The following is a 14,096-nucleotide window of genomic DNA, read 5'->3' as shown; positions in this document are numbered from 1 at the left end:
TTTGTTTTATACATGTAGTCTTCAATCCATCAGGAAGTTAGCGGATATGGTAACACAAGGATCAAATATTATGTTTTTCAAATCTCAGCTCAATCTAATGAAGTTAGTTCTATCTTTGCCCGCTAATTTCTAAAGCTACCTCTGCCATATAACAGATTCCTAAATGTCTCTTCCTAAACTCTATATTCAGTTCCACTGAGTCAATTCATCTAACCCTACACCAATACCATGCTGCTTTAGTTACTCTAGCTCGAAAATTAGTCTACTAGCACAGTCCCTCTGCAAAGTTGGTGTTTTTTAAAACTGTCTTTACCATTCTTGAGCCTTTGTTCTTGTGTACATGACAATTTTAGAATCAACTCTTTGTTTTCCAAAACCAACTGGGACTTTAACAGTCATTACAAGGTTGTTTTTCCCCTAAATTAGAAAAAGCTAGGGCCAGACACAGTGGCTCATGCTGAGGTGCGAGGATTGCTTGAGCCCAGGAGTTTGAGACCAGCCTGGAAAACATCTCTACTAAAAAATGTTTTTAAAATTAGCCAGTCATGGTGTCCCATGACTGTAGTCCCAGCTACTCGAGATGCTGAGGTGATAGAATCATTTGAGCCCAAGAGTTCAAGGTTGTGGTGAGCTGTGATCACGCTACTACACTCTAGCCTGAGCAACAGAGTAAGACCCTGTCACAACATTTTTTAATTATTTTAAAAATTAGAAAAAGTCACGAGTACAGTTTTGTGTAGTTTATGAAATTAGGTGTATCTCTGAACTCACACTTTAGATTATCTGTCACCTAGGAACAAACAACTATGAGAAATAGCATATGATTCCACTTATGTGAATATCTAGATTAGACAGAGTCATAGAGACAGAAAGTTGTCTACATCCTTACCGCTCTCAATGAGCCTAATTTGATCTCAAACTAAGCAAGTCTGGTCCTGATTAATACTTGGATGAGAAACAGAAAGCAGATTAGAGATTATCAGTGGTTGCAGGGAGGGGAGAATGAGGAATTACTGCATAATGGGTACAGGTTTTCTGTTTCCAGTGATAAAATAGCTTTAGAAATAGTGCTGATGGCTGCACAACAATGTAAATGTAAATAATGCCACTAAATTGTATGCTTAAAAATAGTAAACAGCTTTAAGTTTGTTTTTGGCAACAGTTTCTTAGATATGACACCAAAAGTATAGGCAACAAAAGCAAAATTAGACAAATGGGACTACATTGAACTAAAAAACTTCTGTACGCCAAAGGAAACAGCAGAGTGAAAAGGCAACCTATGGAATGGGAGAAAATGTGTAAATCATATTTCTGATAAGGTCCTAAAATCCAAACTATATAAATAATTCTCAAAACTCAATAGCAAAAAAGAAAATAACCTAATTAAAAAATTGGGCACAGGACCTGAATAGACATGTCTCCAAAGAAGATATACAAATGGCTAACAGCTATGAAAGATGCTCAACTCAATAATTATCCGGGAAATGCAAATCAAAACAACCATAAGAAACCACCTTCTACCTGTTCAGAAGGACATTATTAATAAAATAAAAGATAACAAGTATTGAAGAAGATGTGAAAAAAACTGGAACCCTGTACATTGTTGGTGGTTATGTAAAATGGTGTACCCGCTATTGGAAACAGTATGGAGGGTCCTCAAAAAATTAAAAGTAGAACTACCATATGATCTAGCAACCCCACTTCTGGGTATTTATCCACAAGAACTGAAATCAGGATCTCAAAGAGATATTTGCACTCCCATGTTCAGTGATGCCAACAGACAAAAACAACCTAAATGTCCATAAAGAAAATGTGGTCTATACATGTACTAGAATATTATTTGCTCATAAAAAAGGAAATCTTCTCATATGCTACACCATGGATGAACCTTGAGGACATTACATTAAGTGAAATAAGCCAGTCACAGAAAGAAAAATACTGCATGAGGCTGGGCGCTGTGACTCACACCTGTAATCCCAGCACTTTGGGAGGCCAGGGCAGGTGGATCACCTGAGCTCAGTTCAAGACCAGCCTGAGCAAAATGGTGAAACCCTGTCTCTACCAAAAATACAAGAAATTATCCAGGTATGGTGGTACATGCCTGTGGTCCCAGCTTCTCAGGAGGCTGAGATGGGAGGATTGCTTGAGCCTGGGAGGTGGAAGTTGCAGTGAGCTGAGATCGTGCCACTGCACTCCAGCCTGCGTGACAGAGACCGACCCCATCTCAAAAACAAAACAAAACAAAACAAAACAAAGAAAGAATCATGATTGCCAAGGGCTGGGAGGCGGAGGAAATAGGAGTTGCTGTTCAATAGGTATAGAGGTGCAGTTATGCAAGGTAAAAAAAAATTCCAGAGATCAGCAATACAACACTGTGCTTATAGTTAACAACACTGTATAGTACACATAAAAAATCTATTGAGGGTAAATCTCATGATTTTATATTACAAAATAAAATTTAAAAACACACACACACACAGCAAGACACATCACATTCAAACTAACGAAAACCAAAAATAGAGAAAATCATTACAGAAAATGATAAACCCATGCAAACGCCAACCAAAAGAAAGCTACAATAGCAAAGTAAACATCAGAAAAAAAGAGCAATACCAGAAGGATAGTACATAATGATAAAGGGAATTTCACCAAGACAAAACAATCCTAGATATGTACACACCTAACAACAGAGCTTCAAAATATATGGAGCAAAAACAAATAGAACTGAAAAAAAGAAACAGGCAAATCCACAGTTACAGATGGAGACTTCAACACTCCTTTCTCAGTAATCAACAGATGTGGATAAAACCAGAAAAGACACAGAAAATACCTTAATGAAAGGATGGGGTCAGTTCTTTTCTCAACTTTTTCAGTGGAGGCAAAACCCACAATGCCATCTATGTTTTGTGTGCAGGAAAGCATCTGCTCCTTACTGCATTCACCTTCCTTTAGCTCAGGCCTTATAGCCTGACATTTATCTACAAATACAAAATGCATGTTATTCTAAAAAATGACAGCAAAAACATCTTTTTTAGAGCACAAAGGAATTTACCTATAACACTCTTTTCCTACAAAACCTTAAGCAACATTCAAGTCCCTATTTGCAAGGCACACATCTTATTTTTAGACCATAATAAAAACTTAACATATATGAGGATCAGCTCAAGCTTCTTGGGCAATTTGTAGCATCTTCCTTTTATCTTAAATTCTAAGTATTTAAAGTGGCTTATTTTATATGTCAAGTAGGGAAACTAAAAGTTGACTTAACTATTCTTTTGCTCCTTCAGAAGTATACTAATTAGTAACACAGTAATAGCTATCATTTATTAAGTACTTACTAAGCGGCAGGAACCCTTAAGTCCATCAGATGCATTATCTCATTTAATACTTGAAACAATCCTATTAAAATATATTAACATTAACCTCATAGAGAACCCCCTGAGTTCAGAGATCTTAAGTAACTTTCCCAATGCAATACTTAAGCAAGTAAAAAAGCTGGAATTTAAAGCAAGGTCTGTTTGATTTCTAAAACCTGGTTGTGAATCATTAAGCTGTTCTGCATTATACGTAATGACTCCAATAAGCCAAAAAAGAGCATAATATTGAGATGCCTACAAAGCATACTATGTTAGCTACCAGTACTCTTTTATTAAAATCAGATGGGTAAATCTGAACTACAGAAAACATAAATTTTATAGAAAGGTTGTTCTGGTCTGCTCCTACCTTTTCCTTGGTTATCAGCTTTAAATAATCTACATATGAACTCTTAAGGAAAGGGACCAAGACTCCCCCTCAAACTCTTAGCCCTCATCCCCAAGCAACTCATAAGTGGCAATATGTTTGCATTCAAAGAGTAAAAAAGAAAAAGGGAAGGAATACATATTCCACTAGTTCTTTTATAGGAACTAACCCCTTGTGGGTTCACAGAGGTGCTCTGTAGAGGTACAACATGAAAATCTGTGCTTTATTGACAGACATAGCAACATACTTTTAACTCTATATAGATGTGATTTCTAATCATAGTTAATGGGAATGCACAGGAGGTGATACATCTTAGAAACAAACTTTAGAGAACAATCTCCCCACTTTAATTTGTTTAATTTTTTTACATAAACTTTTTTAATTAAAAATAAACAGCGTTAGCACAGTACCATTAGTACAGAACCAATTAATAAGCATCATTAATTGCTATCTAGACAGAAAATTAAGTTACATACCATATTACTGTACATGTCTTCTCAAGTAATATAGAGGCTTTTTAAATATGTAAGAAACTTACTCTTGTGTTTTTCTCCTTTAGAAGGACCCGCCTGAACAGTGGCATTTTCTAAAAGATTGTTTACTCCCAGTTCATTAGCTCCATCTTGCTTCTTCCTCCTTCTTTTCTTTTGATTTAGGTCTACTTCTAATGCAACCTGCTCTGCATCCTCCCTTGATAAGGTCAGAGACTCTTCTTCAACTGTCTGAGCATCCTTCTGAGATCTTTCCGTGTCTGAAATTCTAGAACTCATAGACTCATCTGGATCATTATTCACTCCTTCACAGGCAACTTTTTTCACTGAAAACAAGAGAAATTACTATAAATATTTAAACAACCTAAAGAAAAATTTGTAAAGGTGGGAAAGAGACTCAAAGATGTCCTCTGTATTATTTATTTGTATGAACAAAAAACCTAAAGACAACCTAAAATGTCTAATGGGAAATGACTAAATAATATATAAAAATCCACGGAGCCAATAATAATAATGAGGTAAGATTATATGTAGTCATGTGAAAAATTTCAAAGCATATTGTTGCATTTAAAAAACCAAGCAGAACAAGATACACATAAAATCTCATTTTTATTAAACAAAAACAGTTACATATAGAGATGCTCCTTGACTTACACTGGGTTTCATCCCAATAAACCCATCATAAGTTGAGTATACTGTAAATTGAAAATGCATTTAATACAGGCTGGGCATGGTGGCTCACACCTGTAATCCCAGCACTTTGGGAGGCTGAGGAGGGTGGATCATCTGAGGTCAGCAGTTCGAGACCAGCCTGGCCAACATGGTGAAACCCCATCTCTACCAAAAATACAGAAATTAGCTGGACATGGTGGCAGGCGCCTGTAATCCCAGCTGCTCGGGAGGCTGAGGCAGGAGAATCACTTGAACACGGGAGGCGGAGGTTGCAGTGAGCCAAGATCGCACCATTGCACTCCAGCCTGGGCAACAAGAGCAAAACTCTGGGCTGGGCATGGTGGCTCACGCCTGTAATCCTAGCACTTTGGGAGGCTGACACAGGCAGATCACTTGAGGTCAGGAGCTCAAGACCAGGCTGGCCAACATGGTGAAACCCCGTCTCTACTAAAAATACAAAAATTAGCTGGGTGTGGTGGTACTTGCCTGTAATCCCAGCTACTTGGGAAGCTGAGGCAGGAGAATCGCTTCAACTGGAGAGGTGGAGGCTGCAGTGAGCTGAGATGGCACCATGGCACTCCAGCCTGGGCAACAAGAGCAAAACTCCGTCTCAAAAAAAAAAAAAAGTTCTGGCTGGGCGTGGTGGCTCACACCTGCAATCCCAGTACTTTGGGAGGCCAAGGTGGGCGATCATTTGAGGTCAGGGGTTTAAGACCAGTCTGGCCAATATGATAAAATCCCATCTCTACAAAAAAATTACAAAAATTAGCTGGGCATGGTGGCACATGCCTGTAATTCCAGCTACTCAGGAGGCTGAGGTGAAAGAACTGCTTGAACTCGAGCAGTGAAGGATTCAGTGAGCCGAGATCAGGCCACTGCACTCCAGCCTGGGCAACAAAGTGAGACCCTGTCTCAAAAAAAAAGTTCTTACATTAAGTAAGATACAGTGAGTTACTCATGTTATCACCTGTAACATACAAGAAGATACATAATCTTCTACGATTATGTGTAAGTAAAAAAAAAAGACTACTAAGAATAAAGGTATTTTGTAGTTATCAATACTACTTTTTAAAAGATATGCCCCAGAAGAAGAAATTCTAGCCTAGCTTTGAACAGTAAAGAGTTAATTTTGCAGGCTTGACTGCTATCCTTTGAAAATCCTTCTTATAAGGTTGGCCCTTGGGCCATGTCTCAGAATTTGGTTCTGGGAAGGGTTCCTACCACCCTAACTGATAAGAGTGGCTCACTGTGCCTTAGCTGTACAATGTGGTTTATGCTGAACTGCTTTTCTTTTGAAAATCCGAAATTTTTGTATGTTCCAGGCAGAGGATGCTGAATCCTTAGTCTTCCTAGTGGATAATCGAACCCCGGTGGTGGTCGTGGGGACCCCCAACACAGGCTCTCACCATCCCAGGTTTCAGTTCTGCCTCTGCCACTACACACACTGTGAGTCCTTAGGAAAAAGTGTCTTACGATCTCTGGGGCTGTTTCTTGGTGATTAAAACCAATACAAAGGGCCGGGCACGGTGGCTCACGCCTGTAATCCCAGCACTTTGGGAGGCCGAGGCAGGCATATCATGAGGTCAAGAGATCAAGACCATCCTGGCTAACATGGTGAAACCCCGTCTCTACTAAAAATACAAAAAAAATTAGCCGGGTGTGGTGACGGGCACCTGTAATCCCAGCTACTCGGGAGGCTGAGGCAGGAGAATGGCGTGAACCCGGAAGGCGGAGCTTGCAGTGAGTCGAGATCGTGCCACTGCACTCCAGCCTGGGCAACAGAGCGAAACTCTGTCTCAAAAAAAACAGAAAAAAAGAAAAAAACAACACAAAGGGGGCTAAAATGTAAGCTAGCTAACATATAAGGTTCCCTATAGTTCCGAGCGTCTTCTTTATGTGATTATAGCTAAACATTGTCCTTATAGACCAGAGTTCAAATAGTTAAGAAAACATAAGCCTAAAAATAAAAATACCTACATATATACAATTTCTACCTGTTACAACTCAACATTAGCCTTCAGAAATAAGTTACGCTCAACCAATACAGTCTAGTCACAACCCCAGAAGATTAGAGTTCCTTTTTTTAATCCTAGAATTTTATACCAGATTTGTTTTACAGAGGAAAATGATAATAAATAATCAAACATGAAATACAACACTCCAAATTCTGATGCTCTTTGACTGGCTACAACTATCCTCTATGCTAGAGAGATATCAAATAACCCAATCACGCCAGTTAAAAATTTTAAAAGAAAGCTATTGTTTTGGACCAGATAACTAGTTGATTGAAAAAACATATACTCCCTCCAACTGGATGCTTTGATGATCTTAACTACCTGAGCTACACATGAACTCTCAAAGGCCTGAGGGACAATATTGCAAGTTTATTACTACTAAGTAAACTATCACACTTCCTTTTAAAATCAATACCTTTTACATTTTTCCGTGGTTTGGTGGATTTCTTCTCCTTTAAACTGTGATTTTTAACAGATTTTTGTTTTCTTTTCTCTTCTTCAGCAAGAACTTTCTGAAGCAAATGAGCAAAAAAATCGAAGTCAAAAGGGCGCTTTTCCTCTGTTTAAAGAAAAGGAAAAGAACTTTCAAGTTTTTATTTTTAAAAGCTACTTCTAGCTTTTAAAGTATCATAACATCAAAAGCAAATGGGTTTGTTTATCAGTAGGAGAACAGAAAAACAAATACACAACAGAACACCACTCAGCAACAGAATAGGTTGGTCTTAGCAGGGAAATAGATTAGTTCACATCAGAACACCACTCAGCAACGAAACAAATAAACTAGTTTATTACAAATAATAATTTATTACAAATTTGTAATAATTTGTTTATTGCAAATAAACTAGTTTTAAACAAAACAAAAGGAACAAACTACTGATACATGCAATAATATGAGGGAATCTCAAAAACATACTGAGTGGAAGAAAACAGATACTAGGGTACATACTATATGATACCATGTATAAGATATTCTAGAACACACTAAGCTATCTATGGTGATTAAAATGAAAATAGTGGTTGCCTTGGGCCAGGAGGACAGCATTTGATTGTTCAGAAAGGGACATAATAGACCTTGTGAAGTGATGAAAACATTTCCTCTATTGTTTGGGGTAGTGATTACACAGGCATATTCTTTGTCAAAACTTGAACTACACTTTGAGCTGTGTATAAATATAAATCAATTTTTTTATGGACTGAGAAGTCCTTGAAATGCCTGTTCACCACCATATGCCCTACCTTTATCACAACCATTTCACCATTTACTCTTATAAGTATCAGCAAAGTGGGAAGTAAATGAATTTAATCAGGAACATGCCCACTAAATACCTATCAACAGCATTATATCTGAAAGTAATCAGTGAACACTCCAGGAATGAATCCAGACCAGGAGGCAAATCCTTGCTTGAACTTAAAGTCAATGTAGAGAAAATGGTGCTCTATGCACATAAGCCAAAGACTGGTTTGATTACAAGATAGCCTCAGAAAAGAAGGTATATACTAAAATAAAAAGAATCTCTGGAAACTAAACCCAAATCTGGGATTCCTGAAGACCCTATTTCACTGTTGACCCAGACTTCATTTGTTCTGACTCTCCACAATGATTCTGAAAGACATAGCACTCAAAGAATCATAAAGGATCTCCACATGGTTCTCAGAGAAATTCAAAACATAAGTTCTCTCAAAAAACTTATATAGGTTTTAATTTAAAAAAAAAATTTCCAATAGAAAGCCTCCAAATCAATGAGTTGTTTCTAGTTTTGAGATAGGATCTTGCTGTGTTGCCCAGGCTGGCCTCGAATTCTTCGGCTGAAAAGATCCTCCTGCCTCAGCGACTCCTGAGAGTAGCTGGGCCTATAGGCATACAACACTGTATCCTGTTTAAGATCAATAAATTTTAAAAATATCTATTATAATAGTCTATAAAAATGCTTCACAATCCAAATAGACTGTTTATAGATTTACGAATTATTTTCTGACTATAATGTGTTACACTTAATGAAGTTTCAGGACCACTTCTCTAATATGGAATGGGCTGAGGAGCACAATATTCCAGATCTTCTAAGAGCCATTCCTCAAAGCAGTTTCCCTAAAGACCCGATAAAACACTGGGTGTAGGATCCACCCACCTACCTTAGTGTCTACTCATAAAATAAATATACATGCTACATAATGTAGGTACTCTCTACATTTGGATTTTTTTTTTCTAAAATTAGCACTATGGCTAATCTTACGACTAAATGGACATTGAATACATTTATTAATCATAAAATACTGATAATTGTAAATCCACAAAAAATATATTCCTGTCCACAGCTGTGGTGAAAAAAAGACCTATCTTGTAATCAAAAAATACAAGAACTATTTTTAACAGTAAATGTATTTTTCTTTATAGATCCTTTGATATCTTTCTCTAGACTTGAAGAAAAATATGTTAATTTTAATGAGGATTTTAGTTAGAAATTGCAAGATATCTATCATTCCTTCAGATGAGATCTAAATTCAAATGCTAGTGTATCTCTTCAGACAGAACTTCCCTAATGATCCAATGATCATTAGGAAAAAAGAGACCTAAACATCCACCCTCTCTTTTTTCTTCTTTTTGGAAATGAATCACTACCTAAAATTATGCTTATCAACTATATTTCTTCCGCCATCCAATCAGACTTAAGGTTCTAAATGCAGGATTCTCATCTGCCATTTATCTTCCACCATTACATGCTCAATACCTAGAACAATGACTACCATATAGTAGGTGGTCAGTGTTATTGACTGAATGACTGATTAGTCATTCAGAACCAGAAAGAACCATCTATATAACTAATAGTACTGTCTTCCAGAAACAATGATCTCCTCCCATACAGTTCCTTCAGAATAAATAACACTTAGAAGTGGTAGCATCAATCCCTCCATAACTTCTTGGACTTAGAACTGTTTACCTGCACCTAGATGTTCTGGATAATCTCCTGCCAATATATTTGTAGCAAGTGCCAGACCCATACTGCTAAACAGAAAAATTTCAGACTGCTTCCTCTTAATGCCAATACAGGAACAAAACAAATCTAAAACACACTAAAGCCAAAGACAAAAGACTGGTCATTTTTTAGGCTCTTCAAGTAATACTTTGTAAAAGAGGTCTTAATACTTACGGAATGCTTTGTCTATTCTCCATCCATTTGTTTTCTCTTCCCGTTTAAATTTATTCTGTTAACAACAAAAAACCCTATGGTAATTTTCTCTCATAAAACAAGCATTTTTTTTTAAATGCAGTAAGCATTAAAATGAAACTCTTAGGAATAACATACTGCTCTCTACTTAATATGTCTTTGCCAATAGGCAAGTTACTTAAACCTTCGGCTTTTTAAAAATAAGGATGAAAGATTTTTACTGAGCTTCTTGATTCTCATTACCAATAGCATGAATCAGCAATGGAAGCTGGATTTACAGAGGACAGAAAAAAATAAAGTCAACAAACATGAAAGCAGATCAAACCTATGACTAAGCTCACTGGTATTAACTTTTAAAAAATTAAGTATTCGTAACAGGTTAAACCTCTGACATCATTGTTCTAATATATTTCAAGTAGCATGGAGAGAAGACTATAGAGAAACAACTAAGTGAAATTTTGAAGCAGGCCAAGTTTATCCTGACAAACTTCTATATATTAAGGCACATTTCCTCACATTTTTCTCAGCCCCAAAAATCCCTGTCCTCAGTTTACTACCAGATTACTTCCATTAAGAGGGAGATGTTTAAGGCTTAAGGCTCAATCCATCCTAAAGTCATTAGGAAGACTGAGGGCATAAGTTTGTGTCTGAAGACGTCTGATCACGCAAACACATCGTAGGAGAGGAAACAAACAGCCAATGTTTCCCATCTACACGTCAGTGATCTACAAGTTTTTATTAAAAGCACAAAAATAAAGCTTTTTAATTGCAAAAAAGAGAGAGAGAATATCACATAAAACAAAGGAAGTACTTCATGCCCCCTTCCTCCCTTCAAAAGAACTTAACCACTAATATGACTTGTAAAGCAATCACTTTCTTGTATTTCCTTATTGTTTATGACCCAAGTGTGTATTCTTAGATGATACAGTTTAGCCTTGCCCATATTTTTAAAACCTGATATGACATTAACATCTTTTAATGTACAGGTTGCCCTTCTTTCCCATTCTTTTGTTTTTCTTCACAAAACTTATTATCAATACAGAAGTTTTCAAAGATAATCTTATTTCTGCCTTAAAAGATCATACTGTTATTTAAACATTTCCTCAAAAGTTAACAAATGTTACCTCCACAAAAAATGATTGGCTATAAACACTAAATTAAATGTCCTAAAAGAAATATCAATAGGCTTCAGGCATTTAATTCTAAAACAGTGCTACCTCATATTTTACTTAATTGGTAATATAATTCAGAACAATTTAAAACTTTCTCAAAGAAATATATTGAAACTAGTCAATGATTTCATAGGTAAGAACCAGTAACAGGCCAAATTCCATGATCACAAAATAAATCCCATAATTTCCACTTCTGGCCTTGGCAAAGTAACTCATTATGGACAGGTCCTACATATCCAACTCCACCACGAATGACTTTTAACACTGACAAAATATATGCATCAATTATTTTCAAGCAAAGGACAATAGTGAGAGCAAGACTACAATCACGGAGAGAAGGAAAACAGACAAGATGTGCCCATGTTTACCTTGGCTCTCTGCCTGGGCTCAATTTCCTAACCAAGGAAAGGGAGGTGAAGGCCAAACAGGGTACAGCAATCCAACTAGGCTGCAGAGGTAGGGAATCTTTAGGAGCATAGTTCTAAAAAGGAACTGTGTAGAGGGGTACCTCACAGGCCTGGTGGAAATACCCCATGATACCTTGGCCTAAGTATGGGTTGCATATGTCCAGAATATAAGGCTTAAAAGAGAACAGCTGCTAAAGCCATGAAGGCAGAAGGAAGATGCTAAAAGTCATAAAACACCATATGACAATAGAGTTCAGGTGCATCCTAATGGAAAGACCTCATTAATACCCAAATACATTCACCTCAGACACCAGAAAGATCACCATTAGAGATAAAAACGATACCCTAGAGTAGCCTTTCTCTACCAGGGATGTAGCATGAGAATTAAGTACTAATGCATTAAAGCAGCCACTGTATGCAATGCATTCCCTTCTCTCACTTATCTATTAATAGTATAGTATTAGTATAACCATCCTTAGAGAACTTAGAAAATAATAACTCATGCCTACCATGAGACTGTTCTGGGAAAAGAAGAAAATAATAAAATATAATAGTAATTCAAATTATTTTCTGTAAATCAGATGAGAAATCCCATTGGAGAAAGGATGTCCTAGATTAAAGACCAGTCTAGATCTGCCTCAACAAAGCTTTAAGACAAGCCTTAACAGGAACAAAGAAGTTGGCAGTACATTAACAGTTTTCCAGAACAAAAGTCAACACTATTTTTTATTCTGTTTTGTTTATTGAAACAGAGTCTTGATGTCTTCCAGACTGGAATGCAGTGCTGTGATCACAGCTCACTGCAGCCTTGATCTCCCAGGCTCAAGCAATCCTCCTGCCTCAGCCTCCTGAATTGCTAGGGGACGTGTGCCACCAAGCCTGGCTTTTTTTTTTTTTTTTTTTTTTTTCTTTGTAGAGATGGGATCTTGCCATGTTGCTCAGTCTGGGTTTGAACTTCTGGGCTCAAGCAATCCTCCCGTCTCAGCCTCCCAAAATACTAGGATTAGAGGTGTGAACCACCGCGCCTGGCCCACTGCGCTTTAAAAAAAAAAAGAAAAAACATAATCCAGACACTCTACAACACATCATTCACAATGTCTGGTATGTGATTTCATTTTTTTTTTTTGAGACGGAATCTTGCTCTGTCTCACAGGCTGGAGCGCAGTGGCGCGATCTCAGCTCACTGCAACCTCTGCATCCCGGGTTCATGCCATTCTCCTGCCTCAGCCTCCCAAGTAGCTGGGACTACAGGCGCACGCCACCACGCCTGGCTAATTTTTCACATTTTTAGTAGAGACAGGGTTTCTGTGTTAGCCAGGATGGTCTTTATCTCCTGACCTCGTGATCCACCCGCCTTGGCCTCCCAAAGTGTTGGGACTACAGGCATGAGCCACTACGCCTGGCCTAGTATGCAATTTCAAAAAAACTCACGGTTGGCCGGGCATGGTGGTTCACTTCTTATAATCCTAGCACTGTGGGAGGCTGAGGTGAGTGGATCACTTGAGGTCAGGAGTTCGAGACCAGCCTAGCCAACATGGTGAAACCACATCTCTGCTAAAAATACAAAAATTAGCCAGGCATGGTGGCATGCACCTGTAATCCCAACTTGGGAGGCTGAGGCAGAAGAATCACCTGAACCCAGGAAGCAGAGGTTGCAGTGAGCTGAGATCATGCTACTGAACTCCAGCCTGGGCAACAGAGTGAGATTCCATCTCAAAAAAAAAAAAAATGGCCGGGCACAGTGGCTCACGCCTATAATCCCAGCCCTTTGGGAGGCCAAGATAGGTGGATCACTTGAGGTCAGGAGTTCGAGACCAGCCTGGCCAACGTGATGAAACCCCACCTCTACTAAAAATATAAAAATTAGGCTGGGCACGGTGGCTCACGTCTGTAATCCCAGCACTTTGGGAGGCCAAGGCGGGTGGATCACAAGGTCAAGAGATTGAGACCATCCTGGCCAACATGGTGAAACCCTGTCTCTACTAAAAATACAAAAAAAAAAAAAAAAAAAAAAAAAAAAAATTAGCTGGGCATGGTGGTGCGCGCCTGTAGTCCCAGCTACTTGGGAAGCTGAGGCAGGAGAATCACCTGAACCCAGGAGACAGAGGTTGCAGTGAGTTGAGACAGCACCACTGCACTCCAGCCTGGCGACAGAGTGAGACTCCGTCTCAAAATAAAAAAAAAAAAATTAGCCAGGCATGGTGGTGCGCACCTGTAGTCCCAGCTACTCAGGAGGCTGAGGAAGGAGAATCGATTGAACCTGGGAGGCGGAGGTTGCAGTGAGCCAAGATCACGCCACTATACTCTAGACTGGGTGACATAGCGAGACTCTGTCTCAAACAAAAACAAACAAAAAAACCCGTGACGGAGACCAAAAAATTAATTATTTTTTAAAACCCACATGACATGAGAAAAGATAGGAAAATGTGATAGG

The 14,096-nt window shown here is 38.2% G+C and overlaps 1 protein-coding gene across 9 annotated transcripts in view, besides 1 other annotated feature; it reads right to left on the bottom strand.

Moving 5' to 3' along the window:
- Positions 1-14,096, bottom strand: part of BDP1 (BDP1 general transcription factor IIIB subunit) — a 122,638-nt gene that overhangs the window by 84,327 nt on the left and 24,215 nt on the right. For all 9 annotated transcript variants that reach the window (XM_017009630.2, XM_047417372.1, XM_017009631.2 and 6 more), the window contains exons 8-11: positions 10,066-10,120; positions 7,335-7,478; positions 4,280-4,558; positions 2,831-2,978 (exon numbers count right to left, since the gene is read on the bottom strand). In XM_017009630.2, the coding sequence (XP_016865119.1) occupies positions 2,831-2,978; positions 4,280-4,558; positions 7,335-7,478; positions 10,066-10,120 (626 nt within the window). The remainder of the gene's footprint in view (positions 1-2,830; positions 2,979-4,279; positions 4,559-7,334; positions 7,479-10,065; positions 10,121-14,096) is intronic.
- Positions 10,266-10,560: an enhancer, noted in NCBI's record as "tiled region #10712; HepG2 Activating DNase matched - State 6:EnhF". NCBI's record gives its function as "activates a minimal TATA promoter and a strong SV40 promoter by Sharpr-MPRA in HepG2 cells {active_cell/tissue: HepG2}" and the evidence as "EXISTENCE:reporter gene assay evidence [ECO:0000049][PMID:27701403]".

Source organism: Homo sapiens, chromosome 5 (genome assembly GCF_000001405.40).
Source record: "Homo sapiens chromosome 5, GRCh38.p14 Primary Assembly".
Taxonomy (NCBI): Eukaryota; Metazoa; Chordata; class Mammalia; order Primates; family Hominidae; genus Homo; species Homo sapiens.
This window is presented reverse-complemented; position numbering and strand designations above follow the sequence as displayed.